We start from the raw sequence: 27,744 nt of genomic DNA on the forward strand, positions 1-27,744 counted from the left end.
GCTCCCGTCCTGGCTCCACCTATGTGCAGGGAGGCTTGGCCCTAATGCCTCTACCTCGAGATTCAGGGTCTCAGGACACAGAAGGCGCAAGCCTCGCTCCTCCTGTCTGTCCACTGGTCGCTCCTGCACTGCCTGCTACGCTGGGGTTAGGACCCAGCCTCAGATCACCTAGCCCAGCTCCCAGGAGCCCCATGTGGCAGCGCCCAACTGCCACACGAGAGGGCAGGTGCTCAACCTCCCCAGTGAGCTCCTGCAGCCAGAGTGGGCTTTGTCACCTGGTGTGAACAGAGCCCTGAGGCCGAGAGACCAGCAGGCCCACCCCAGCTTGGCCGCGCGTCCTCAGGCAAGACCCCCACTGTCTCTGGGCCTCTGCCGGAGTTAGTAGCCACACAGTGGAGAGTGAGGCTGGGGTTTGATAAAGCTTCAGTACTCCAGCTGATGGGGGACAGGCCCCAGGGTGCCCCTCCTTTGGTTCCCTAGCCCCAGATCACCTAAGTCACTCCCTCCCCTTCTCCTGGCACCCCAGCCCTGTGTCTCCACACCCACAATGGGCCTCTCCTGGAGTCAGTTGAACCAGATGGAGCCCTGTGGACAGGGCCAAGGCCAGGGCTTGTTGTGGTGCTGGGCCCACCTGGCTTTTGGTGAACAGAATAGTCAGTGGAGAGGGGAAGGAGATGGGGAAACTGAGGCACAGGGAGTGAAGTGCCCAGTCCAGGCCAGCACGGCCTCAGGTTCCACGCGGCTGCTTTCATCCCTGACACTCGCTCGTCCACCCCAAGCCTGTGCCAGCCCCCAGTGTCTTCACCCAGAGCCTGTGCGGCTGGAGGGGCTCTCAGCCCAGGCAAGGGCTGGCGGCCAGCCACCCGAGGTGACCTGCAGCTGCAGAGGGGTGGCCTTGGTGCCTCTCTTGCTGCAGGAGGAGGAGGAGGAAGAGGAAGTGGCCCCTCTGCTTTACGGGGCTGTGATTCCAGTGGTAAATGCGGAAATACGGCTTGGCTGAGTGCCGCGTTCGGCCAGGGCCAGCTCCCAGGAACAGCCGGGCTGCGAGGCCATGACCCAGGGCCTGGGAACACAGTGAGGCCTGGCCATGCTGCGAGGCCTCAGAGGGGCGGACTGCTTAGGAGGCCAACGACCTTCCTAAGGGTGGGCAGTCAGGGAAGGGCCAACAGCATGCCCGCTGTGTCCTCAGGCGGGCCCTCCCTCCCTGGGACCCTCCCAGTGCCAGCCTCCTGCCTGGGCCAGGCTGGGAGCTCCCTGACTGCTCTGGTCCCTGGGCTGCTCCCACGAGCCTGACTCTGACGGTGTCTGCTGCACATCATCCGCGGAGTCCCGAGTTTCGGCCACTGCGGTCGTCCCCATTTCACAGCCAGGAAACAGAGGACAGGGGAAGTCAACTGGAGGTCACGCGGTGGTGAGTGACAGAGTGGGTGTTGCAGGCAACCACTGGACAGAGCCACAACCACACTCTCCCCAGCACACCCCACTGCCCCTGTGCTGGGGGACTGCTCCCCATTTCACAGATGGGGAAACCAAGGCTGGCGGGAGGAGCAGCAGGAGCACATCCGTGGACTCTAAGTCAGCACCCTGCCTGCACACGCAGCCCCAATCCCCATAGTGAGGTTTGCCTCCCCGGCATGAACCAGGAACGTCCGGCCTCATCGGGAGGCTGGCACCAAAATCCATTCTATGTGGGTGAAGGCACCTACAGGGAGCATGCATGGGCCATGGGAGGTGTGCCCTCACCAGCCTGAGAATCACGGAGGGCTTCCTGACCACTAACCTGAGTCCTGAAGGGCAAAGAGCAGAGATGAAGCAGGGCTGTGGGGTGAGGAGAAGCGTGCACAGCCTCCACAGGTGAGGAAGCCCCTGCCAGGGACGGGGCTTGGGGGTCAGGGGAGGGTGGGCAGGCCACCAAGGGCCTTGGGCACCCGTGGGTCCCTGAGGGCCATAGGAAGTCATTGAAGGTTTTAGCAGGTGAGTGATAAGATGAGAGGAGTGTTTTGGTGCTGGTGGTTGTGGTTGTTGCTTTTTTGAGATGGAGTCTCACTCTGTCGCCCAGGCTGGAGTGCAGTGGTGCGATCTCGGCTCACTGCAACCTCCGCCTCCCAGGTTCAAGCGATTCTCCTGCCTCAGCCTCCCGAGTAGCCGGAACTACAGGCGTCCGCCACCACACCTGGCTAATTTTTTTTTATTTTTAGTAGAGTTGGGGTTTCACCATATTAGACAGGCTGGTCTTGAACTCCTGGCTTCAAGGGATCCACTCACCTGGGCCTCCCAAAGTGCTGGGATGACAGGCATGAGCCCCACGCCCGGCCCAGAGGAGTCTTTTGAAAGTTCCTTCTGGCTGGGTGTGGATTCTGGATTGGGGTCACGAGGGTTGGGGCAGAGAGGGCAGGTTGGTAGGTGGGGGCTTCCCCAGGCAGGCGCCCTGCAGTGTGGACAGGAAGCTGGTGGGGATAGGACATGAGGCAGGGGCTGCATCCCACGGCCCTCAACTCTCTCCAGTGATGGATGAGGGGCGTGGATTCAGCGGCCCCCTGCCTCTGGCAGAGACTGGGTCTGGGATTGGTGCTGCCAGGCCTCTGGCCCCATTCCCAGGACCAGTCCCTCTACCCTCCCAGGCCCAATCTCGTCAGCCCCGGCACAGGGATTCACGCCGGGGATGGGCCTGGCTCAGACGGTGCCCCCCTCCTAGCCCACATCCAGGCAAACAGCCGTAAGAGCAGTGAGAGCGCCCTCTCCTGGGAGCGCTGGGCAGGTGCCAGGGCTGACGCCACCGTAAGGTTACAGGGCAGGGGTCACTCCTGCTAAGCCCCAGGGAAGCCCCTCCCTACAAGTTGGGTCCCAGGTAGCAAGGGCAGGAAGGGTGTTTCGGGCATGGGGAACAGCATGTGTGAAGGCTGAGGTGGAGGGAAGTGGGTGGGTCCGGCAGGGGGCACTGGTGGGTTTGGGGTTCAGAGAGAGAGCCCTGCGTTCAGTGTGGGCCATGGAAGGAGGGAAAGTGCTCTAGGCAGGCAGAGGGGAGGGAGGCAGCGGAGGCTGGGGATAGACTTGGGCCCTGTGCACATGAGGGGAGGGGACGGAATGAAGACACTGAGCTGGCCACAGAGGTCACCGAGGTTGTCCGGAACACGCCCACCATATTTATGGGACACCTCCTGAGACCCCCAGGCCTATTTCAGGGCCTTCAGTGCAGGGCCCCGGGATCAGCAGCGAGCAGCACAAATGAGACCCTGGGCTCAGGGAGAAACACAGGAGGGGAAGAGGGGGCGCAGTTGGGGGCAGGCTTCCAGAAGCACCTCGCCTTCAGGAGTGTGGGTCGGGGGGCTGGGCTGGAGACAGGCCCCAGACTGGGGCAGCAGTGGCAGGAGCTAAGAGTGTGGGTGGCCAGGGTGACTGGGACAGGGGTTGTGCCAGGAGCAGCCTCATCGCCCCTGGGTTTCCCAAGAGCCATCAGTGCCCATGCCCGGGTGCTTGTGGCTCTCATACCTCAGGACGAGCAGCAGGATTCGGACCCAGGGTGCTGGGGTCTGCAGCCCCCCACTGGACGCTGAGATCTGCACAGCCTCAGCACTAGCTGCTCTCAGCCATCAGGTCACCCGTGAAGCAGCATGCAGGGACCCGGCACTCTCCACCCCACAGAGAGGGCTCAGGCCCCTGGTCTGCTGTGCAGACCCAACACAGACTCTCATCTTGTAGTTGTTTTTTTTTTCTTTGTTTGTTTGTTTTGAGACAGAGTCTCACTCTGTCGCCCAGGTTGGAGTGCAGTGGGGTGATCTTGGCTCACTGCAACCTTTGCCTGCCAGGTTCAAACGATTCTCCTACCTCAGCCTCCCACGTAGCTGGGATTACAGGCATGTGCTACTACACTCAGCCAATTTTTTGTCTTTTGGGTAGAGATGGGGTTTCGCCATGTTGGCCAGGCTGGTCTTGAACTCCTGACCTCAAGTGATCCACCTGCCTCAGCCTCCCAAAGTGCTGGGATTAGAGGCGTGAGCCACTGCACCCGGCCTCATCTTGTAGTTAATGCTTTCTGTGTACCTGGCCTGTGCTGGCCAGCGCCATGGTGGTAGCCACCCACTTGACAGCAGCTGGGAGGTCCCTGGGCACAAGGAGAAGAGGTGACAAGGCCGGGTGGGAGGAGCTTGGTCTCGCACAGTCCTGAGGTGACAGCCACCTTGGGCTGCATACCACTGACCTGGCCCTGCAATGGAGGCAGTTGCCCAAGTACCGGCTGCTGGCTGGTGCTCCGAGGCAGAGGGCACAGTGGGGTCCAGCTGGGTTGGGGGGCCACTGACAGCCAGGGAGCAGCAGGGGGCTGGGTTGCTGTATTATCAAGGGCACAGCTGTCCCTAAAGCCACTAGGCCAAAGGGCCTCCTCACTCCTGTGCGACGTGGCCCTGAGAGTCCAAAGGCCAGGCCAAGGTCACGCCATGGTCAGTGCCGGCCAGGGCTGGAAGCCGAGCCTCCTGACCCTTGCACCAAGCTCTCTCCTCTGTTCAGGCCACGGCATCCAGGCCTGGGGCCACGAACCCGCAGTTTTCTCCCGTCCTGGGGCAGTCAGCCCTGGGCTGTGGGGGCTGCTGGGGCTGGGGGTCCGAAGGGCTGCGGACTCCCAGGAAGGAGATGTGAGCTCTATGGAATCCTAGCAGGAGCCCGTGGCATCCTCAGCTTTCCGGGTGTGCTGGGTACAGGGGCAGATGGCTGGCATGCTGGGGGGCCTGAGGCTCTGGCAAGGCAGCTGGGCACAGCCTGAAGGTCTGAGTGCCTGGCCCCCAGGGAGGGATGGCTTTGGGCCACCTTTGAAGGCCTCTTGACCCGCAGATGATGCAGCCTGCAGCCACCTCCGTCCACTTAGCAGGTCCTTTCCAGCCTGGCACCGGGTCACAGGTCACATTGGCCCCTGAAGTGCCAGCCCACAGCTCCAAGGAGGGCTACAGGGGAACATCGGCTGGCTGGGAACTCACAGAGCCCCAGGCAGCGCTCAGCTCCCTCCCCGGCCCTGCCACAGGGCCCTGCTGGCCTCTTCACCCCACACCTCCCTGTCAGTCCTCCTTCCAGGGCAAAGGCCCCAGCTCTCACTTGGGGCTCAAGCTATCCTGGGCTCCTCACTCTCTCTTGGTCACTGCCCTCCCCTCCCAGACACCCGTCTCCCAGCCACCTGCACCTCCCCAGCCCTGTGGTGCAGTGTAAAGCTGGCCCTGGCACCCTGTGGTTGTCCCGCCTCGCCCTTGGACCCCCAAACCCCCCAAGCCCCAAAGTCAGGACTGCATGACGCTTAGAAGCCCAGCCTCCAGAGCTGAGTCCCTGGTTCAAATCCCGGCTCCACCAGTTTTAGCTCTGTGACCCCTCTGCCTCAGTTTCCTCACCCACAGAATGGGGATCACTGGTGCCATCCCATAGGGCCAGTGTGGAGATTAAATGAGCAAGTTCTTACAAAACCTGAGAATGGGGGTCCGGCCATTGCTCCAGTCTGGTCTGGGTGTTCTCCCTGCTGGAACATTCCTGCTGCCCCCTCTCCCCACAGCGCCTTCCCCACCCCACCCCTTCTACCTGGAAAGCAACGGGCCTCATGCCTGGGAGGGGCCTCCTGACCCCCAACCCCAACTGCCCAAGCCACGAACCAGTGCACTCACCACTGGCCTGGTGATCCTGGGGTCTGGGCCAGAGATGGGGTCACCTCCGCATCCCCCACCCAGAGCAAACCTGCCCCTGTCCAGCCCCGGACAGCTCTGCATCTCCCTCCTCCTGCAGAGGGCAATGGTAATCCTTGACATGCGGTCCTCCTGTCCTCTTAAGATTCCGTGGCCTGTGGTGTCTGGAAAACTTTGAATTCCATGACTGTCTGGGGCCAAAAACGATGAGTGCACAACAAGAAAACCCTCCCAGGAGGCCTGGGCAGCCAGGACGCGCATCTGTGCAGGACCCTCAGCGGAGGTGCGGCCAGCGGACCTGCACCTAGAGCTCCCGGCATGCCCAACCCTGCAGGTTCAGTGTCCTTGTCATTCCCCATGAGCCAGAGGCACGTGACGCTGGGGGCTTCATCCTGTGGCCACAGGAAGGCTCCAGAACACTTTAGACAGAGTGACAGGGTCAGAGGTGTTTTTATTTTCATGTTTTAATTTTGTTCGAGATAAGAGTCTTGCTCTATCGCTCCAGCTGGAGTGCAATGGCTTGATCTCCACTCACTGCAACCTCCGCCTCCCGGGTTCAAGCAATTCTCCTGCCTCAGCATCCCAAGTAGCTGAGATTACAGGCGTGCACCACTACGCCCGGCTAATTTTTGTATTTTTAGTAGAGACAGGGTTTTGCCATGTTGGCCAGGATGGTCTCGAACTCCTGACCTCAAGTGATCCACCTGCCTTAGCCTCCCAAAGTGCTGGGATTATAGGCGTGAGCCCCTGCACCTGGCCCAGAGGCACTTTGCAAGAAGGGCTGAGAGGGGCAGGGGAGTGCAGTAGGGAGCTACTTGGGGAGCAGGCGGCCTGCCAGGGCACAGGTGACAGTGACAGTGTCAAGGGTGGCAAGGTGTTGAGGAAGCCACTCCTAGGAGGTGGTCACTGGTGTGGAGGGCAGAGGGGCTGTTAGGCCACGCACAGATTTCTGGCTTAGAAATAACTGACTGGCAGGCGATGCCCTACACCAAGACAGGGAGCACTGAGAGAGGTCAGGCTTCAGGGCAGTTTGGGGATTCCTGTGAGGCACCCAAGTTGGCAGCTCAGGAGGCAGGGGGCAGCTGGAGGCAGCATGGGAGACACTGGCGCCTGGGGATCCGGAGAGCACCCAGGGAGGGTGGCAGGCTGGGAAGAGGCTGAAGCCAGCAAGGGGCCTGGAGAAGGTCAGGGAGGCTTGTGTCAGGAAGAGAGAAAGAGAGGCCAAGTACATCCCACACATGCACATGGGCCAGGCATGGGCCATGCAGGCTAGGATGGATGCCCAGGAGGTGCTGCGGGGATGACCACCCCACCCCCTGCCCCAGCTCCTCCCCGCAGCTTCGGAATTCCCAGGCAGCCCATGGGCCTAGAGACCCTGCTCGGATAAGGAAAGGAAAAAATACATTCTTTGTGTCCCTTTCCCACAAGCCGCTACAATCATCATCTTTGTTCCCTGATTGCAGCAAATGATAGGGAAATGGACGGCCGTTCGAATTCCTGTTGAACTTTTAAGAGAAGTCCCCTCAGAGCCCTGGGGAAGGGTGGCAAGCTGTGGGTGATGGAAGCTGGCCGGCGGGGAAGGGCTCCATGGAGCGCTGGCCTGTATGCGTCCGTGGGGAGCTAACTGGAAAATGAAGCTTCCACAAGGACATGAGGCTGGCTTTTAGAACGGGCTTGAAACCAAAAGACACAGGCAAGATGCCCTCCATGGGGAAAAGTTGGGAAATAATTGTCAGAGAAGGTCAAAGGTGCTGGCGCCATTGTCCTGGGACGCCTCCTGGCTCTGCCGACCTTGTCTCTGCCAACCTTGACTTTGCCGGTGCCGAGTTGGTGTAGGATGGGCCCCAGGCCCGGGACATCTGCTTCTCTCACTTCTGGCTTTGTCTCCACCTCCACCTCCACCGCTCCTGATTGTCCGAGGGAGTAACAAGAAACTCACACACGCAGACATGTACATGTGTGCACACAAATAGCACACACACCCATATGCATATACAGAGACATGCACAGGTGCTCACTCACATATACATGCAACACACACGGGTGCATTCATGCATGCACACACAGGTATGTGTGTACACAGACGTGTGCAAGCACATATGCGTATTTGTACATGCATATACACATGTGCTAACACAGGTGCCACACACGTACACATGTGCACACACATGCCTGCTCACATGTACCTGTGCACACACGTGCCTGCTCACATGTATGTGTGCGCACACACACACAGACACAAGCACATGCCCTTGTGCACACAGGTATGGCAGGCCCAACGTGGCAGGCAGGCTTCACCAGGTACTTGGTGTGGAGCTGGTTGCTCCCACTCCTGCCTTTCTCTGCTGAGCAAGGAGGTGGAGCCGTGGCCTTGGGGAACTCCCAACTCCCATCTCTGGGCGGCACACAGACCCCTGCTGAAAGTCGGACAGATTTGCTCACTCTGGTTTCTGGGATTCCAAGGGCAGACTGCAGGGATCTCCCAGCAACGTGAGAGGGCACGACCCTGACAGACACGCCATTCCTCTTTCTGTCAACCGGTGGAATCCAAGCAAGAGCAGCCCCTCACCGGCCGTGTGGTCACGGCTGCCTTAGGCCACCTTCCTGCCCTCCTGTCCCTCGCTCCAGGGTGTGCCAGGCGTGTTCTGAGTGTGGGCGCAGGCAGCACCAGGCTCGAGAAGGAGTGATGTACAGATGGACAGCTGTCCTGCCTACTGGCCTAAGCGGTCAGTCCCTCAGCTACATGGGCCAGGGCCATGGGAGGCTCCAGAAACAAGGCCACTGCCCACAGCACCGGCATTTGCAGTAGGTGTGTGGAAGCAGCTGCAGGCCAGAGGCAGGAGCCAGGGAAATGTGGCGCCCAGGCCGTCTTGTCCCCTCTGGGCCTCCATGTCCCCACCTGCACCGTGGCTCGATGGAGCAGGACATCTCCCTGGGGGTGGCAGCCACGTTGCCCTCCCGCCAGGAGCCTCCCGTGAGCCCCAGGGCACAGGCCCGCTTCCCCTCCAGGGCTGTACATTTGCCTTTTAGGAGCCAGAGTTGAGCAGCTCCTGGCTGGGTGTTGGGAACCGTGCCCCAGGCCCATGGACAGCACAGCCAGCCTCTTGGAAGTCTCAGAAAATGTATCACCCGTCACAGGGATGGTTTCCTGTCTCTGCAGATACTTCACTCTCCCCTCCCCCGACTCCTCCTCCTGGGCCATTTCCCAGAAGCGCTCATCCCCATGCCCACACGAACACAAACCTCCACGCAGCACTGACCAAGAGCCAGGCCCTACCCCAGGACCTCACAGATGTCACCTTCGCGGTCCTTTCAGCAACCGAATGAGGTAGGCCTATCATTATCCCCTCTTCACAGATGGGGAAACCGAGGCACGGAGCTGTGAAGTGACTTGCCCAAGGCCCCACCGGCAGCCAGTGGCAGAGCCAGGTGCCCCCCAAGATGTTCACGCCCTAATCCTCAGGATCTGCAGACATGTCACCTTTCATGGCAAAAGGTCTTTGCAAATGTGATGAAACATCTGAAGATGGCAAGATTCTCTTAGGTGATCTCAGTGGGTCCCAGGTAAGCACAAGGGTCTTTATGAGAGGAAGAAGGTATTTGTTGATGTCTCTTTCATTCCTGCTGATCACTTGATGAATACGGAGTTGGCCAGATTTCTCCACTGAAAAGTTACTGTGTTTCCTTTTGTCATTAACAAGCATCTTGTTGGGCGATACTTTGAGACTTTGTAAATATCCTATTACTCAAATTTTCACCCGCTAATTTTAGCATCCTTAGATGACTCCACCTGGATGGGTTATTATTATAATGGTTATTAAATGGTGATTCCATCATTCCTGTAGTTACTGTTTTAATCACCTCAGATGAGATCCAGATTCCCAAGAAACTTCCAGTCTAGTGAGGGAGATGACTTAGTCAACAAATATAATAAAGTGAAATCAGCAAGAGGCACTGGGGCTGAGGGAGTAAGGAAGAGGAACACAACACGGGGAGGAGTGATCAGGGAGGCCTTCCTGGAGGAGGTGGTGCCTGAAGTAAATCCTTAAAGGAAAAACAGAAGTGAAGGGAGGAGTTGCCCTACAGAAGGAAAAGCAAGTGCAAAGCAATGGGATGGAAGTGGAGAGCTGGAGAGAGAGGAAGAGACATGACCATGGTGGACTCCAGGTGTTGGGCCCAGGGTCTCTGCCCAGGCCTGCGGAGCCATCAGCAGTGCAGGGCTTGGCCCGGGGGTGGGCTGTGCAGGTGGGCAAATGAGAAATGAAAGGGCAGGGTGGGCAGAGCAGGGGCAAAGCCAGGGCGACAACTCGTTGACATGCGCCCTGTTGACCTTCGTAACCTCTGACCCTCACAGTGACCTTCCGAAGGTAGCCTTCTTCTTCCTATGGAAAACAGGCGCAGAGAGGTGAGGTGATCCGTGCAGGTCCCCCAGCAGAGCCAGGATTCCAGCTCAGACTCTCAGAACAAGCGGTGAACAGGAGGCTGGGCACGGTGGCTCACTCCTGTAATGCTGGCACTTTGGAAGGCTGAGGCGGGCGGATTACTTGAGGTCAGGAGATCCAGACCAGCCTGGCCAACATGGTGAAACCCCGTCTCTACTAAAAATACAAAAATTAGCTGGGTGTGGTGGTGCATGCTCCCAGCTACTCAGGAGGCTGAGGCAGGAAAATCATTTGAACCCAGGAAGCGGAGGTTGCAGTGAGCCAAGATTGTACCACTGCACTCCAGCCTGGGTGACAGAGCGAGACTCTGCCTCAAAAAAAAAAAAAAAACAAAAAAAAAAAACAGGCGGGGAAGGGTAAAGGGTACCTCTCTCAGCTGCCTGCATCTTTCTTACGGGCCTGAGCCTGGCCCTGAGTACTCACAGAGGATTCCATGGGGTCCTGTCCCCAAGAAACCCCCCGAGAAAGTTCCAATCAGGACTCAGGTCCCACTGGGAGGTCCCCCCCTAGCTGACTTCTTGGGCTCCCTCCCAAAGTGGGCAGAAGGGACTGGGTGAGGGACCTGAGCCTGGTTTTCACTTCCCTAAGCCCGAGGGTCCTCTTCCTGGCACAAGGCCTCGAGGACGCTTGGGAAGCCAGCCTTCAGGTCCCGCTGTTTTGTTATTTTGCCAAAGTATGTCCCGTCTGTAAGTTTGCCCCCTCGGGTCACTTTCTTCACCTTATCAGCAGGGCCCATCATTCCTGCTGCTTTCCAACAAGATGCCAGAGCATATTTTTAGACCAATGAAGTTGGTGGGACAGTGGGTGGGACCCAGAGAGTGACGGACAGTGAGTCGGCCTGGAGGGTGGGAAGGCAAAGCGAGTTCCCCTCCTGGGACGGGGCTGGGAGGGGACATGGGATGGTCTGTCAGCTACGAGTTTGTGGAAGGCAGAGTCGGTGACTTTCAGCTGACCTGCCTCGGTCTGGAAGATTCCAGTAGAGAAAGGGAGGGCCAGGGGCCTGGAGGCTGGTTCCAGGCCTGGGTGCTGGGCCTGAGAGCATTTCCAAAGCACTGAGCCTGGGACTGAAGGTAATTCACCACGAGGGCACAGCTGGGGAGGACCGTGTGTGTGCTTCCCCCACCTCCCAGTCCCTCAACTCACCCCCAGTCCCCCCACCCGCCTTAACTCAGGAAAAAGGCCTCCCTCGTGAGCACTGGCAGCTGCCTTTGGAGGCATGTCACGGTCACACCGCAGGACAAAACACAGAATCTCGGGCTGGCAGGGGACATTTGAGATCGGCCAGCCCAGCCTCTCATTTTACAGCTGGGAATGGGCGCAGGACGGCCATGGCTGCCCAAGGTCACAGAGCCTGGGAGGGAGCCGCAGACACAGTGGAAAAAGCAGGGTCACGTGAGCCAGGTCTGGGCACTGGGTCCGGGCCTGCCACTCCCCTGCATGCGGCTCAGGGCGATGGCTCAGCCTCTCGGTCTCAGGTCCACAGCTGGAAGCAGGCAGAGGAACAGCTGTTTGCGGGGCTGCCTGGGGAGCAGCGGGGCTGGGTGCCCTGTGCACACAGCGGACATTTCATCAGCCACTCTGCAGGCAGCCAAGCCAGGAGGGCCCTCTGGGCACCTGGGCCTCTCCTCAGGAAGAGGAGCAGGGACTCACTATCCTTTGGGTCAACGACGGCCTTAAGCAACGGGCTCGAAAATCCCTGATTAGTGACCACCTTCTGTTGCTAGGCAAGATGGGGACAAAGATGGGTCCAGTTCTCCAGCTGTTAAACATCTGTCTCATCAAGAAGATGGGACAGCACATGGAAAATAAATTTCTATGGTTATAATAACTGTCCCAGATTCTCTGTGCAGTAATGGCAGACCCCCTTTCCCTCTGAAAACAAGCAAGAATTTTGGATAAAACAATAACAAAATTAAGTTAAATGCATCAAAGGGCTGCTAAGCTAGTGGGAAACCTCCAGGCCAAGTTTCAGGGGGAAACCAAGAACCTAGAGAAGAACGCTGGGGTCACTGGTGCCTGCGAGCATTTGCCAACCTGGCAAGTTGGGCTTTGACCTTGGAGGGAGTAGAGGGGTAGACAGAGGTCAAGGTATGAGGAGCCTGATAGGGGCATATCAAGCTGGAAGCGTGAAAGGCCTCACCTTGGGTGAAGACTGAAGCAGAGATAACCCTGGCCCCTGCCCCAAAACAAGGAATTCGTTAGCATTAAAAGGAGTGGGAGGAAAAAAGGAAAGGAAACTCACGGATTCAAGCACAAAGAGCCTCGGAGCTCCTGCGGACTTGGACCCCTTGCCCATCACACCCGGGAGGCCCGGAGATGGTGGGGCTTCTGTGCACTTGGTTCCAGGTGGTCTGGGCTGTCCATGTGAAAGTAAACACTATCCTTGTGAGAAGGAACCTCTGTCCTTGGCCTCACGGAAACCCCACAGACACCCTTCAAAGGGCCCCAAGACGCACACAAAGATATCCAAGTCTGAAAGGGAAGAAGGCACCATGAGTAAGAACCAGCAGACAAGCTAGCGGACACCCGCGCGGTCTCCCCATATTATTAGAAAATTACCAAACAAGACACTAGAGGACATTTCAAACCATAATAGAAGAGATGGCCCATGTTCGGTGGCCAAGCATAGCACAGAGCTCCTCACTCCTCCAGGAATTCCACTGAAGGGTGGCAAGTTCTGGAGTTCAAGCCACTGGGGAGGCAACAGGAGTGCAAGTGGCCACAGTTCAGGCGCTGAGGGGCAGAGGCAGGGAGGGGGCGCTCCCAAGAAGTCCACTGGGAGACGCAGGCAGGGGGCTTCCCAGGCAGCCTCACCAGCTTCCCTTCACACTGATCCCCTGTAAAGGTGTGTCCAGCCTCGATGTAGGAGGAACAGGGAGAAACTGATTTGCTATTCATAAAATGCGTCTGCAGAAACAGATTAACTCCTGATCCACTTTCACGGCTGAAGCAGAGCCTGCCTTGTAAAACACATGGGCATTTTCCTATAGTTGTTTTTCTGTTTTCAGTTTTGTTTGCCATTTCCTGAATCTAACACCTTCTGAGGCGGATGCTAAGAGTTTAGAATTTACATAATTACCCGAGTCACTTGTTAACTCCCTGTAAGCAGCACCCTCACTGGATTTGATCACTTTTGCTTTGCCATGCCTGCATAAGCTTGCCACCGAAATACTTTAAAAAATGGACTTGAGGCCACACACTGGGCTCATGCCAGTAATCCCAGTACTTTGGATGTCAAGGTGAGAGGATCACTGGAGGCTAGAAGTTCAAGACCACCCTGGGCAACATACCAAGATCCCTTCTGCAAATAATAATACAAATAGTAATAATAATAATAAATATATATATATATATATATATATATTTTTTTTGAGATGGAGTCTCGCTCTGTTGCCCAGGCTGGAGTGCAGTGGTGCCATCTCGGCTCACTGCAAGCTCCGCCTCCCGGGTTCACGCCATTCTCCTGCCTCAGCCTCCCCAGCAGCTGGGACTACAGGTGCACACCACCACGCCTGGCTAATTTTTGTATTTTTAGTACAGATGGGGTTTCACTGTGTTTTAGTCGATCTCCTGACCTTGTGATCTGCCCGCCTCAGCCTCCCAAAGTGCTGGGATTACAGGCGTGAACCACCGCGCCCGGCCAATAATAATACTTTTAATTAGCCAGTCATGGTGGTGTACACCTGTAGTCCCAGCTACTCAGGAGGCAGAGGCAGGAGGGTTATGTGAACCCAGCAGTTTGAGGCTGCAGTGAACCATGATTGTGCCACTGTACTCCAGCCTGGGTGACAGAGCAAGATCCAACCTCCCCTCCGCACCAGGAAAAAAAAAAAAGGAAAGAAAGAAGACAGACTTGTGCCTCACAAGTGGTACTTTTGAGTTCCCACTCAAACTACTGTCTTTCGAGTAGGGCAAGACCACTTTCCATTGTGGTATCTTTGCAGCAGTGCCATTGTCCCTTATGGAACAGTGTCTCAGGACCCCGCTCCTGCTCCTTCTGCCGGCTCTGAGCAGGTGAGGACAGGGGACTGGGAAGGTCCCCTGCATCTGAGCCCGCCGGTGCTCAAGCATCTTTCTTGGCTGCCCAAGAACATTGTCTGCAGGACAATCCCAGCTCCTCAGCCTGCGTCTCTGGCCCTCCAGGTGCCCACTGCTTATGCTTCTCAGTCACATCCCTGGCCTGCCTGGGCTCAGGGCTGACTCTTACTCCAAGGGTGGGCAGCATGAAGCTGGAGCCATTTTGCAGCAGGAAGGATTCTGCCTACTAGGAGCCGAGGCCACACATGGGGGAAGGCAGGGTTCCTCTGCCGGAGCCCCTCCTGGTGTGATGAGGGAGGCAGGCACACAGAGAGGGAGTTAGAAGAATGGGGTTAGTGGGAAACTGAGGTCTGCCCCAGGCATGAGGAGGCAGTGAGGGCAGACTCCTAGCCCAGCAGGGAGAGGAGGTACTGAGAGCACCCAACCCTGAGTGAACAGCAGCTAGACCAGGCCGGGCAGATGGCCAGTCCCTCCTGCAGCGCACTCCAAAGTCTCAGGGAGCCAGGGAACAGGCAGAGCTGAGAAAACGTCCTGGAAACTCCACAGGAGCCCAGAGCCCACCATGTTCTCTGAGAGAAAGTCAGCACTGGGCACGCTGGACAGGGAAGCAGGGTCATGCTTGGAAAGGCCAACTCAGTCCTTGCCACCCACTGAGCACCCACTAGCTAGTTATTTGGTTTTGTTTTAAAAACTCAACTCATCACGAATACTCACCAAGATGCTTTGATCTAATTTCATGCCTCCACCTGGAGAGGGGGAACGATGAATTGACAGTCTCCCAGCCTGTCTTCCCCACCAGCCATCCAAGAACCCTGCCTGCCAGGATGCTGGTCCTGTGTCTGCCTGCCCCACGCCACCGTCACCTTGCAGAGAAACACTGATTGCCTTCACACATCTGGCTCCAGCCAACTCCCTCCTCTGCACACCTTGAGGCTCCCAGGCAGAGAGGAGGCTCTTCCCCAGGCCGGGGGCCCCCCTGGGAGGGTGTCCAATGTCATGCCAGCCAAGGCCCGTGTGGGCGTAGCTCCTGCAGGTTCTCAAGGTTGTAGCCCGCACCCTGCTCCTTGGTTTTGTGAAAGATCAAAATCAGGGCCTCACATAGAACTTTATATTCCAACGCTGCAAGTCTCAACACAAACCAATGTGTTGACTTGAAAATAAATATCACTAATAAAATGGAGAAGAGAGCTGGCATGGAAAGATTGGGAAAATGTCAAGAATTCTTGGTGCTGTATGTTTATCAGTAAATAAAGCACATCTGAGGGGTGAGGGGTCGGCCCTTGGACCTTGGGCTCTTACAGATGGGTGCCATTTTCAACAGCTTTGGAGACAAACATGGTGTTTGCCAATATCTTGGTTTTGCCAAGTCAAAGCTAACCAATATCAGCACTTCATCTAAGCAATTCCCACTAAGGAAAGGTATTTTCAACAACAACAAAAGAATATAAAGGATATAGTCTTGGGAAGGAAAAGGATATTTGTCTTGTTTTTCTTTGAGAAAAGAAATGAGCCTCTCAATGTTGCCCAGGCTGGAGTGCAGTGGTGCAATCACAGCTCGTTGTAGCCTTGACCTCCCAGGCCCAAGTGATCTTCACACCTCAGCCTCCTGAGTAGCTGGGACCACAGGCACGTGCTACCATGCTTGGCTAATTTTTTTTTTTTTTACTTTTTGTAGAGACGGGGTCTCATTATGTTGCCCAGGCTGGTCTCAAACTCCTGGCCTCAAGCAATCCTCCCGCCTCTGCCTCCCAAAGTGCTGGGATTACAGGTGTGAGCCACTATGCCTGGCCTGAAAAAAAAGGCTATTGCTTTTTTTTTTTCTTTTTGAGATGGACTCTCACTCTCGTTGCCCAGGCTGGAGTGCAATGGCGCAATCTTGGCTCACTGCAACCTCTGCCTCCAGGGTTCAAGCAATTCTGCCTCAGCCTCTCAAGTAGCTGGGATTACAGGCATGCACCACCACGCCCAGTTAATTTTTTGTATTTAGTAGAGACGGGTTTCACCATATTGGTCAGGCTGGTCTTGAACTCCTGTCTCAGGTGATCCACTTGCCTCAGCCTCCCTAGGTGCTAGGATTACAGGCCCACCATGCCCAGCCCAAGGCTCTTTCTTTTCTTTTCTTTTCTTTTTTTTTGAGACAGAGTCTCACTCTGTCGCCCAGGCTAATCTCCAGTCACTGCAACCTCCGCCTCCTGGGTTCAAGCGATTCTCCTGCCTCAGCCCCCAGAGTAGGTGGGACTACAGGCACGTGCCACCATGCGCAGCTAATTTTTGTATTTTTAGTAGAGATGGGGTTTCACCATGTTGGCCAGGCTAGTCTCGAACTCCTGGCCTCAGATGGTCCACCTGCCTCGGCCTCCCAAAGTGCTGGGATTACAGGCATGAGCCACCACGCCTGGCCCCGAGGTATTTCTTTAAATCAGCTAGTTGAAGTTCTATAGGAAACTCTTCACAATGTCAGTTTTTTGTTTTTTTGTTTTGTTTTGTTTTGTTTTTTTCACTTTGCTGCAGACCCAGAAAACTTTGTCAAACATGACCTGTCCCTTCCAGGAGATGAGGGACCATGGCCCAATCCCACGTTTTAGTGAAACCCAAGCAGAGCAATGCAATAGGGCAGCCCCCCTTCCACTCAGCTGCACAGGCTCCGGTTCAGATTGCCTTTCCTGGCTGGCAGGATGCTTTGGTGAAAGGCAGATAATAGGGTGGGACAGGGGATCACGGGCGGGAGACACGTAGGCACTGGGGCTGGTGTCTGCGAGGCATGAGGCCTGCCTGTCGGCTGTCCTGAGTGGAGAGACAGGACCGGGCAGTGGGCCGCCATAAAGATGGTGCTGGATGCGACAAGAGCCGCATGGAACACAGGAGGTGGTGGCCACACAAGGCAGAGGGCAGCTTTGGCAGGGGGACGGTTGCCAAGCAGGCTTCCTGTAGGAGGCAACTCTTGACAGAGCCCTCAAGCTGGTGGTTACCATGTCCCAAATATGACCCACTCATCAGGCCCCACCCTGCACCACCCCCGTGCTCCCTCCTCAAACTCACACCAGGACCCATCCAGGAAGGCGTCCCTGCCCCATTTTAGAGATGAGGGGGCTCGGATAGCATCACCGGCTGGAGGTTGTAGTTTGAGGAAAAGGTACAGGAGGATTTGAATCCAATTCTGTTGAACTCCAAACCCCAGGCACCCACTCATTCCATGAGGGAAAGTTGGGGGACAGTGCCCACGTGGCACGGTGCTGTGCACGTAAGCTTGCCTGTCTTGTGTGTTTCCAGGCTGTCATGCCAGACCTCATCTCTGCACTTGCAGTCTTCCCTGGCCGCAGCAGTGCCACTCACTGCCAACCACTGGGTCAGATCATTGCAGAATCCAACTCCACACAGAGCAGATTGTCCTTTATGGACCAAATATGTCTATCTGGTTGGGCGCAGCGGCTCACGCCTGTAATCCCAGCACTTTAGGAGGTCAAGGCGAGCGGATCACCTGAGGTCAGGAGTTCGAAACCAGCCTGGTCAACATGGTGAAACCCTGTCTGTATGAAAAATACAAAAAATTAGCCGAGTATGGTGGTAGGTGCCTGTAATCCCAGCTACTCAGGAGGATGAGTCAGGAGAATCACTTGAACCTGGGAGATGGAGGTTGCAATGAGCCGAGATCTCACCACTGCACTCCAGCAAGGACATAAGTGCAGAGCAAGACTCCATCTCAAAAAGAGAAGAGAAGAGAAGAGAAGAGAAGAGAAGAGAAGAGAAGAGAAGAGAAGAGAAGAGAAGAGAAGAGAAGAGAAGGGAAGGGAAGAGAAGAGAAGAAAAAAGAAAAGAAAAGTAAAGAAAGAAAATCCGTCTATCTACACATCACACTTTGCAGTGAGACTCCCACGGCACCTAGCATGACACAGGGAGGGGTCCTGCAGCTTCCAGTCCATGTCCTGGACTGGATAAACAACATCCATGATCTAGCCCTGGAGCTGGATCCTGTGTGACGAGGTGGACACCTGTCCCTTTGGAGGGGCAAAGAAGGGAGGCAGTGCAGCTGCAGGTGGGCTGCCCTGTTCTTCTCAAGATCTACAGAGACAGACATCTGAGCCATGTCGAATGGGCCCTGCTGCAAAGCTGGGGACTGGTTAATTTTCAAAGGGTACAGTGTCATGACAGCAGCAGTTTCTGGACCTGCGGAAGCTTCCAGATCCTGCAAAGCTAGAATGGGTGCACAGCTTAAGCCCCTCCCCACCACCTCAGCTGTGACCACTGGTTAACATGTAGCATGCAGCACTTGGTGCTAATCAGATGGAGTCATGCCTCTGCTGACAACCCTCCATGGCAGGTGTCCCACAGCCCTTAGGACCAAAGTTAAACTCCTCACTGGGCTGCAAGACCTGCCTGGCCAGGGCCTTGCCCAGCTCTGCCCGCTTTGTGCCATCTCCACACTCTCTCCCCTTGAATGTCTCCTGCCACAGGCTTCTGCACATGCTGCTGCCACCCCCCTGGAGCTGTGGGGCCAGGAGCAGCCACCAGGGAAATCTGATCCTTGACCCTGGGCTCCTGAGTCTGCCAGAGGCTGCCGTATCAGCCAACAGACAGCTTCTGCAACAGACAACCGAACCCCGGGGGTACCCAGGGCCAGGTGCTGATGGACTGGGACTCGGGAGAGTTCTCACTCCCTGCCGGGGACCTTGGCCACATGCTGCCATTCCTGGCCCTTCGTTCCTCATCTGTAAGATGAGCATAAGCACAGCTGCCTTGTGGGACTCTTGTAGATTCTGTCCCCTAGTATGACAATACTTTGTTACCTTGGACCCATGGGGTTTTGCTGTCAGTACCAGGATGGCAACTAAGGACATGCCCATGGTTGGCCCTCACCGACGAGGTCCAGCCTTGGGTCGCCAAGCAGCCGCCTGCTCGCTGCCAGTGAGCCCTCCCTTTCTCAGCCCACGGCCCCTGCCCCGGTGGACTTCCACCACCTGACCTGCAGGCACGCTTCCAGGAGCTCAGAGGCCACTGCCCTGGCGGATGACACCCTGGAAGCACACACTCCCCCTTGACAGAGAGCTTTGCACATCAGCAGAGGGCAAGCCAGCAGCAAACTTCGCAGGCCCTGGCTGGCAAACAGACTCCAGCCTGGACCCCAGGCCCATAGGAGAAGCTTCACCCTGGCAGGGTCAGGGAAAGCACTGGGGTCCCTGAACACAGATGACCGTCATCACCTGCTCCCAGCACTCAGGGTCTAACTGCTGCCCTGTACTGAGCGGCCAAGCCCTATCACTCCAGGTTGCCTCCTCCAGCAACCCCTTCCCGTCTGAATTCCCAGCTTCCCAATTCTTTCCCTGAGGCTGTGGGAGAGCCTCGGCTTCTCTGGCTGGCTGGCAGGTCAGCACTTGCAGGAGAGAGCAGCTCAGCAGGGCAGACGTGGGCTTTACAGACCTGCCTTCCGTCCTGCGCCCTGCCGCTGGCCTGGGGGACCCAGTGCAGATGGGGCTTCTCTGTGCCTCAGTCTCCATCTTGCAATGTGGGCACAGTAATAATTACCCTCAGAACATCTTCCGGATCAGAAAATGTAAAAAGGGACCTGAGACAGCATTGTCACCACATAAATGGTAGCTATGAACTAAGATCCATATGCACCAGATGCTCCCAGTAGTCACTAAGGCGCCAGAGAGGAAACTCAGGTGGTGCTCAGAGACATTTTCAGGAGCACTGATTTGTCCTCAAAGTTACAGATTTCTACTCAGTCCCTGCGCCAGCGGTGTTTCTGTTCTGTCGTGTGGCCCTCATTTCATCAGCACTGAAGAAGGTAAAGAGAGACTTCCTGGAGCTGGGAATGGGGGTGAGGGTGTGCCCTTTGTGACAGTTGCTCCCATGCTGGGTGTGTGACAAGGTCTTCGTGGCCAACAGAAAATTGCTTCATCTCTCTCATCTGAGCGTGGTTTCCCAGAAGAAACCTACCACCCCCGGGAAGCATGGATATGGGGCTGTTTCTGGCCAGGATACTCCCAAGAGAAGAGTCCTGAACTTGCTTCTACCCTCAGGACGCCTGCGGGAGACTGGCTGACAGCATTTGATTGAAAATGCTTATTTCTGGGACACATGGATGAAAAACAAGTTTTCTCTCCCTAAAACCTTGGGAGCCCCAAAAAACCCAAGAATATCACTTTCCTATGTCTGCTGAGTGTACGTGACCACTCTGCACACCCCCACATAGCCTTTGTCCTTGTTCATGAGAATGTTCACTAGGTCTTTCAACACCTGGTTGACCTGGGTGGTGCATCTGGGTCACACACCTGTGTGGACCCTGGTCCTTGAGAGTCTGGGATATGGGTATGCCAGGTAATGTCTTTGAGCCCGGAGGTCCTCATGAGGATGTAGCCCCTGAGCTCTGCGTGGGCAGCCCAGGGTCAGCTTCCCTCACCAAACACAACAGGATGACAAGCTTGGATGTGGCTGCCTGCACACCCCACGAGATATGCAGGATATTACGTGTACAGGTCACCCTATAAACTCTGAAACAACATAAATGATAGCTATTGCTGGCTAACATGTGCAAGAGAAGGTGAGGTTGCCGTGTGCCAGTGGGAAGGATATGTGGGTGTCTGGAGGGTGGGGCAAAGTTCACCATAGGTGCCTGGCTAATCAACAAGGGTGAGTTTAAGAGAAGTTTGTGAAAGGGCCAGTTCCCGCCTGATCTCCAGTTCCCCTGCCTAATGAGATCTGGGTTTGCTTTCCGGAGTGGGTCCTCCTGGGCGCCCGCTGCCACAAATAGCACAGTGGCAGGCACAGCTGGCAGCGGAGGGCAGGCAGTGGAGCGGGCATAGCACACATTGCGTTCCCGAGGAGGGGAGCCCTGATGTGCCGGCACCCAGGGGCTTTGTGCATTCCGCTCCGGCAGCTCGAGCGTCACGGCCCGAACAAAGCGGCTTTGCAGGGCGCTCTCCTACTCCTCGCCATTGGCCACCGGGCCGCGACCTCTCCTTGCTCTGGCAGAGTCCCAGCGCCTTGCGTAGGCACAAAGTCAGCCCCTCACCCCCCAGCGCATGAAGTAGGGGCGGGCATGGCTCTTGGGCCGCTGGAGAGGGGTGGGGTTGTGGGGTCGGAGCTGGCGGCGCCTCCCCGAGCCCGTCCGCGTTGCCCTTCACCCTCCTCGTTCCCCCGCCCACCACACCGCCCTGGCACCTCCCGCCACCTGTTTCCTTGTCCTCCCAGCTCGCCTTCCCCTTCTCCTTATTTTGCATCCTGGGGTTCCAGGGACAAGGTCCCTCCCGGGCCGCCTCCCACCCTACGCACTTCTGAGCCTCAAGGGCACCCGGTCCCGGGTCCCGGGTCTAGACCGGCTCATCGCACAGAGTAGCAGAGCCGGGCTCATCGAGGAGGCAGGAGGGGCTCGCCAGCGTGGCACGGGCGCCCGGCGGGAACCTCCACCCGCCCCGCGGCCGCGCGTCCCCGCCTCGAATTCAGCCCCGCCCCGGTGCGCCGGGCTGGAGGGGCGCTGACGCTCAGCGGTGTCCCATCGGTGACCTTGGACGGTCCCTCCACCTCTCCGGCCTCAGTTTCCCTTGGCTGCAGCGGCCGCGGGGCGCTAGGTGGGAGCCGCTGAGCGCTCCCGGGGCCCCGCCCACCGCGAGCAGCCAATCGGGCGCCGCCCTCCGGGGGGTGTGTCCCGGGGCCGAGGCCCGGGGCCCGGAGGGCGCGCGGGGCGGGCGGGGCTTCCGGGTCGGGCCTCGGGACACTGGCTCGCGCGGACCGGGGCAGGGGGCGGGCCGAGGGGCGGTGCGTGTCGCGGGGGCGCGGCTGGCACGGACGCGCGGAGGCGGCGCCGGGCATGGGCCGTGGACGCGGCGGCCCCGCGGCGGGGGCAGCGGGCGGCGGGGGCGGAGGCGGCCGCTAGCGCCCTGCCCGGCGCCGCCTCCTTCGGCGTTCGCCCCACGGACCGGCAGGCGGCGGACCGCGGCCCAGGTGCCCGGGGGCGGGCGGGCGGGCGGGCGGGAACGCGCGCGGGGGTCCGCGGTCCGGGCTTCCCAGGTCCCGGGACCCGGAGGGCGGCGGACGGGGGAGGGGCAGGGGCTGGGCGGCGCATGCGCGGGGCCCGGGGTCTCGGGGTCTCCGGGTCCCGGGGACCCGGGGGCCCGGGGTGCGCGGCTGGGGACCTGAGGGCGAGGAGCGAGGACACACACCGAGGACTCTTGCGAGGGATCTCGGGGCCCAGCTCGGCCTCCCTCCTAGCGCTGGGGGCCTGCCCGGAACCCGAGTCCGCGGCTGTCCCTGGGGTTTGGCGCTGCGCGGAGGTCGGGTCTGGGGACCGCAGCGACTCTGGGTCTTCGGGTTGTCCCCTCGGAGGGAGGGCCCACGGGCGGGGACATCGGGACTTGCCCTTTCCTCGGCGCAGCGGAGCTGGGGCGTCGCCGACTCAGAAGGTGCTTTCCGAGACCTCCAGGGATCTCCGAGGCGAGGAAACCCGGGCCCCGGACAGACCGACCCTGGGTGGGTGCGCCCGGCTTCTGCCGTCGGACGGAGACGCGCGTGTTTGTTCCTCCAGCTGCGACCACCTTTGAGGAACGGTTCCCACTTTGTGCCCCAACGCGGCGGGGCGACCCCGGACAGGCTGCGCTGGGCCGGGTGGCTTCTCTGCGGAAGCCGCGCCACGTCGCTCCCGGTCGGGGCCGCTGAGGGTCGGGCGCCCAGGTCTTTCCGGAGTCCCGGGCTGCGCGGCCCGCGTGGTGCGGGTGAAGCTGGAGGGGCGCGGGGTGGTGCCAGTGGAAGTCAGGAGGGTCGGCCCTGCCCCCTCACGCACCCCAACCGGGCACAACTGCACGCCTGTGCTTTTCTGAAGTCTTTTTTAAAAGTTAAAAGAGAGGAAGTGTGCTCCAAGTGTCAGGATTCTTTCCAAGAAAAACCCACAGTTGTCCAATGGCCTGGGCTTCGTGGGACCTCCGGGGCTGCACGCCCACGTCAGCCTCAGCCGACCCCTGCCAGGAAACCAGGGAGGCCCCTCCTCTCCCAGCCTCCTTGGGATAAGGGTGCCTTGGGGAACTGGGTCAGGGCAAGGACACGGGATTTTCCTGGGAAGGACCCTGCGACACCCGTGTCGTTGCGGGGCAGGGTCAGCATGACTTTCCTCTTCCAAGGTGAAGAGTTGGGGGGCATCCAGAGAACAACCGTAATCACTTCCTCCTTCACCTTCTTACTGCCAGGCTGAAGCTCAGGGCCCTGTCTGCTCTGTGGACTCAACAGTTTGTGGCAAGACAAGCTCAGAACTGAGAAGCTGTCACCACAGGTAAATAGAAGGTTTAATTTACTGTTTCCAGATGGAAATATTTAAGTGTTTTCAGTGTTTACTTCTGTTGCACTACAGACCAGCAATCTGGGGGTTATTACTTTGTGATGCAAGGTTAGATACGTTTTCAGACTGAAAGTAAAATACATGTGCATGGATTCATTTTTTTTTTTTTTTTTTTTTTTTGAGACGGAGTCTCGCTCTGCCGCCCAGGCTGGAGTGCAGTGGCCTAATCTCAGATCACAGCAACCTCTGCCACTGGGGTTCAAGCGATTCTCTTGCCTCAGCCTCCCGAGTAGCTGGGATTACAGGCGCCTGCCACCATGCCCAGCTAATTTTTGTAGTTTTAGTAGAGGCGGGGTTTCACCATCTTGGCCAGGCTGATCTTGAACTCCTGACCTCATGATCCACCTGTTCCTCCCAAAGTGCTGGGATTACAGACGTGAGCCACCGTGCCTGGCCTAGGATTCACTTTGAAGTTCTGAGTTATTGTGTGACTTTTGCTAGGAACTTCATTGCTTCGTGGCAGGCATGTTTTGTATAATTTAAAACTTGATGACATTAACTTTGAGAAACGTGAGTGCTTACTAGACCCTTGGGATGTCCACACTGACTGGTACCGAGTAGTGTACTGTCTCTGAGCTGTTTTCATTTTGATTTGAATATTAAGCAGATGGCTTCTTGAGATAGACCCGTGCCAGAACATGCCAGGGATAGGCTGAAGAAACGGGCCAGATGATACAAATTTGTGTGGTCACCATCCATGAGAGACCAGGGACACTGGGGCTGATGATGACCTCTGCAACTCTGAAGCAAAAGTAAACTAATTGGCAAGTTGGGTGCGGTGGCTCACTCCTGTAATCCCAGCACTTTGGAAGCTGGGGTGGGCAGATCGCTTGAGGCCAGGAGTTCGAGACCAGCCTGGCCAACATGGTGAAACCTTGTCTCTACAAAAAAATAGAAATATTGCCTGGGCATGGTGGCGGACATCTGTAATCCCAGCTACTCAAGAAACTGAGGCAGGAGAATCGCTTGAGCCTGGGAGGTGAAGGTTTTAGTGAACTGAGATTGTGCCACTGCACTGCAGCCTGGGCGCCAGGGCGAGACTCCGTCTCAAAAATAAATAAATAAAATAAAATTAATTAACTAATTGACATTAGAAAAAAATGTTTTTTCTTTCTTTTCCCACATCCTTTTTTTTTTTTTTTTTTTTTTTGTGACAGAGTTTTGCTCTTGTCACCCAGGCTGGAGTGCAGTGGCATGATCTTGGCTCACCGCAACGTCCACCTCACGGATTCGAACAATACTCCTGCCTCAGCCTCCCGAGTAGCTGGGATTACAGGCACTCACCACCACACCCGGCTAATTTTTGTATTTTTAGTAGAGGTGGGTTTCACCATGTTGGCTGGGCTGGTCTCAAACTCCTGACCTCAGGTGAACCGCCTGCCTTGGCCTCCCAAAGGGCTGAGGTTACAGGTGCGAGCCACCGCGCCGGGCCCTTTTCCGACATCTTAAACGTAAAGTAGGAGACGTGTCATAATCATCGAATACTGCAGTGGTTTTCATTAGCTCCTGTTTGTCAAACTTATGAACAGAGTTTTAAAAATTGTGTATCAGCCGGGTGCGGTGGCTCACACCTGTAATCTTTGGGAGGCTGAGGTGGGCAGATGACAAGATCAGGAGTTTGAGACCAGCCTGGCCAATATGGTGAAACCCTGTCTCTACTAAAAATACAAAAATTAGCTGGGCATGGTGGCGGGTGCCTATGGTCCCAGCTACTCAGGAGGCTGAAGCAGGAGAATCTCTTGAACCCGGGAGGTGGAGGTTGCAGTGAGCTGAGATGGCACCACAGCACCCCAGCCTGGGTGACAGAGCAAGACTCCGTTTCCAAAAAAAAAAAATTGTATATGAGAGAGACAGAACTAGACAGAGAAGAAGGAGAAAATGTGTCTTCTTTATACACTATTTTGTAACTTGCTTTATCGAGTAGGTTATGAAAAATCTTCCTATGTGAAAAACATTTCTGCATCATTTGAAATGTCTATATAATATCCCATTGTGTTTAGATACAATAATATTTAGCCAATCTCTTTATGTGTATATATTTAATACAGTCATTCTATAAATATTGACTGAGTAGCTGCTGTGGGCTACTGTCCGCAGTGCTGAACAAGACAAGCATGAATCCATGAAACTGATTTTCATACCAGAATATAAAAAAGAAACTTAAAGATAATCCTCATCATGGTAAAAGATGAAGAACCTATTTTTGCCGGGACATCTTACTCTTTAGTAATTGGTGGCCAGTGTTCTTTTTCTTGCATGCTGTTTTGGAGAGTCTGTTTTTTAAATAAATATTTAAGTAGCCTGGGCGCAGTGGCTCACGCCTATGGTTTCAGCACTTTGTGAGGCCGAAGGGGATGGATTGCTTGAGCCCAGGGCTTCAAGACCAGCCTGGGCAACCTGGCGAAACCCTGCATCTACTAAAAATACAAAAATTAGCCAGGTATAGTGGCGTGTGCCTGTGGCCCCATCTACTTGGGAGGCTGAGGTGGGAGGATCCCTTGAGCCTGAGAAGTGGAGGTTGCAGTGACTGAGATGGCACCACTACACTCCAGCCTGGGTGACAGAGTGAGACCTGGTCTCAAAAAATAAATAAATATTTATGTAATCATCTTTAAGCAGTGTTTTTAATTTTATTTATTTATTTATTTATTTTTGAGACAGGGTCTCACTGTGTCACCTAGGCTAGAGCACAGCTGCATGATCACGGCCTATTGCAGCCTCGACCTCCCTGGGCTCAGGTGATCCTCCCACCTCAGCCTCCCAAGCAGCTAGGACCACAGGCACACGCCACCAGGCCTGACTCATTTTTGTATTTTTTGCAGAGACGGGGTCTTGCTATGTTGTTCAGACCTGTCTCAAACTCCTGGGCTCAAGCCATCCTCCTGCCTCGGCCTCCCATAGTGCTGGGACTAAGCCATGAACCACTGCACCCGGCATAAGTGGTCTTTCTTTAAAAAAAAAAAAAAAAAAAAAAAAAAAAAAAAAAAAAAACCACATTAATTAAAATATGTATTTGCTTATTATAAATATATTTGAAACATGCCAATTTTTCTTCTCTTTTTTTGCTCTATTGGTTTCTGTGTGTGGATGGATATATTTTTAATGGCAAATAGGATGAGTGTCTTTACTTCCAAGTAGTCAGTGTTTTTCTTTAATGTTTGTACTAATTTTGTCACATTGCAGTTAGAGGTTGTGGCCTGTCTAATTTCTGCTTTTTTGGAACTTGAGAGTCTCTGTTTTTATTTGTTTTTGGTAGCCTGGCATAGAGTCCATTTTTCTTTTCTTTTCTTTTTTTGAGACGGAGTTTAGCTCTTGTTGCCCAGACTGGCGTGCAGTGGCGCAATCTCAGCTCACTGCAACCTCCGCCTCCTGGGTTCAAGCGATTCTCCTGCCTCAGTCTCCCCAGTAGCTGGGATTACAGGTGCCCACCACCACACCTGGCTATTTTTTGTATTTTTAGTAGAGACGGGGTTTTGCCATGTTGGCCAGGCTGGTCTCGAACTCCTGATCTCAGGTGATCCACCCGCCTCGGCCTCCCAAAGTGCTGGGATTACAGGTGTGAGCCACTGCGCCCAGCTGTAGATACTTTTTAAAAAGGTATAGTTTCTGATTATGGGGTAGAAATGTGCTATGTCTGTCATTTCAGCCTTATGAATTGCCCAGAATAAGCTAGATCACCTTTAAGGCCATGTGGTTAGGGAAACTTGGGCACAGAATTTACATTTTCAACTTGGTGATAAGATGGGTTTAAGGTAAGAATCAAATAGGAGAAAGCCTTAGCTGTTCCAGCGGCCCATGTTTAAAAGAATGTGCTTCTTTTTCCAAGTATTTCTGCCGCTTGCATGCACTGAGCTTCTTTGGAAAGGAGCACCATGCAGGCATATTTTCCAGACAGGACCGGATTTGCTCGTTACTCAGAGGTGTGTGCATTCTTTGCTTTTAGGATATTTAATTAGCATCTTTTAATAGTGATATTACGGTGTCTTAAAAGTTTATGCATTTGAAAAGAAAAGAACTTACTCCTTGCCAGGTCTCAACCTATCATGGTTATCTTTGCAGCTGAGCTGCGTTGGTTTTGAGGCTCACATATGGTAAAAGTGGTTGGAAATCTGGAAATATTGCTGTGTATCTGCAAAGCAGCTTGATATAGTGGAAAAGGTATTAGGTCATTAATCATGAGATTTGGATTCTAGCCCCTTAGCTGCTGCCTGCCAGGCCTGGAGACCTTTGTTCTCTTCTTTAAACTGCTGCTTTCTCATCAGAAAATGAAGTTCCTCTCCATACC

The 27,744-nt window shown here is 55.8% G+C and overlaps 1 protein-coding gene and 2 long non-coding RNA genes across 24 annotated transcripts in view, besides 4 other annotated features; 2 read left to right on the forward strand and 1 right to left on the reverse strand.

The window, feature by feature from the left end:
• Positions 1-912: 912 nt before the first annotated feature.
• On the forward strand, positions 913-9,490 carry LOC124905137 (uncharacterized). 2 transcript variants are annotated; one of them, XR_007068138.1, is made up of 2 exons: positions 913-1,411; positions 5,800-9,490. It is a non-coding gene; the product is annotated as an uncharacterized LOC124905137 (long non-coding RNA). The 2 variants fall into 2 exon arrangements; XR_007068139.1 differs by having other exon boundaries at positions 9,012-9,490.
• Positions 6,101-15,651, reverse strand: LOC124905138 (uncharacterized). The gene is made up of 2 exons (XR_007068140.1): positions 14,849-15,651; positions 6,101-12,568 (listed from the first exon to the last, which is right to left on the reverse strand). It is a non-coding gene; the product is annotated as an uncharacterized LOC124905138 (long non-coding RNA).
• Positions 9,444-9,945: an enhancer, noted in NCBI's record as "H3K4me1 hESC enhancer chr22:46533901-46534402 (GRCh37/hg19 assembly coordinates)". NCBI's record gives its function as "activates a minimal SCP1, AML or CMV promoter by ChIP-STARR-seq in primed H9 embryonic stem cells {active_cell/tissue: H9 hESC(primed)}" and the evidence as "EXISTENCE:reporter gene assay evidence [ECO:0000049][PMID:30033119]".
• Positions 21,410-22,019: a silencer, noted in NCBI's record as "silent region_13903". NCBI's record gives its function as "represses an Ori minimal core promoter by ATAC-STARR-seq in GM12878 lymphoblastoid cells {active_cell/tissue: GM12878}" and the evidence as "EXISTENCE:reporter gene assay evidence [ECO:0000049][PMID:35858748]".
• PPARA (peroxisome proliferator activated receptor alpha) overlaps positions 21,949-27,744 on the forward strand; it is a 93,231-nt gene continuing 87,435 nt past the window's right edge. For 17 of the 21 annotated variants that reach the window (XM_047441420.1, XM_047441421.1, XM_047441423.1 and 14 more), the window contains exons 1-2: positions 21,949-22,075; positions 23,311-23,393. The gene's annotated coding sequence lies outside the window, so the exon portion shown is untranslated. Of the gene's footprint in view, positions 22,076-22,210; positions 22,601-23,310; positions 23,394-27,744 lie in introns of those variants that run through there. The other 4 variants (NM_001362873.3, NM_001393943.1, NM_001393945.1 and 1 more) reach the window with 1 other exon arrangement.
• Positions 22,170-22,289: a silencer, noted in NCBI's record as "silent region_13904". NCBI's record gives its function as "represses an Ori minimal core promoter by ATAC-STARR-seq in GM12878 lymphoblastoid cells {active_cell/tissue: GM12878}" and the evidence as "EXISTENCE:reporter gene assay evidence [ECO:0000049][PMID:35858748]".
• Positions 22,500-22,689: an enhancer, noted in NCBI's record as "active region_19232". NCBI's record gives its function as "activates an Ori minimal core promoter by ATAC-STARR-seq in GM12878 lymphoblastoid cells {active_cell/tissue: GM12878}" and the evidence as "EXISTENCE:reporter gene assay evidence [ECO:0000049][PMID:35858748]".

The sequence above is a fragment of the Homo sapiens genome, chromosome 22, assembly GCF_000001405.40.
Source record: "Homo sapiens chromosome 22, GRCh38.p14 Primary Assembly".
NCBI classification, from domain to species: Eukaryota; Metazoa; Chordata; class Mammalia; order Primates; family Hominidae; genus Homo; species Homo sapiens.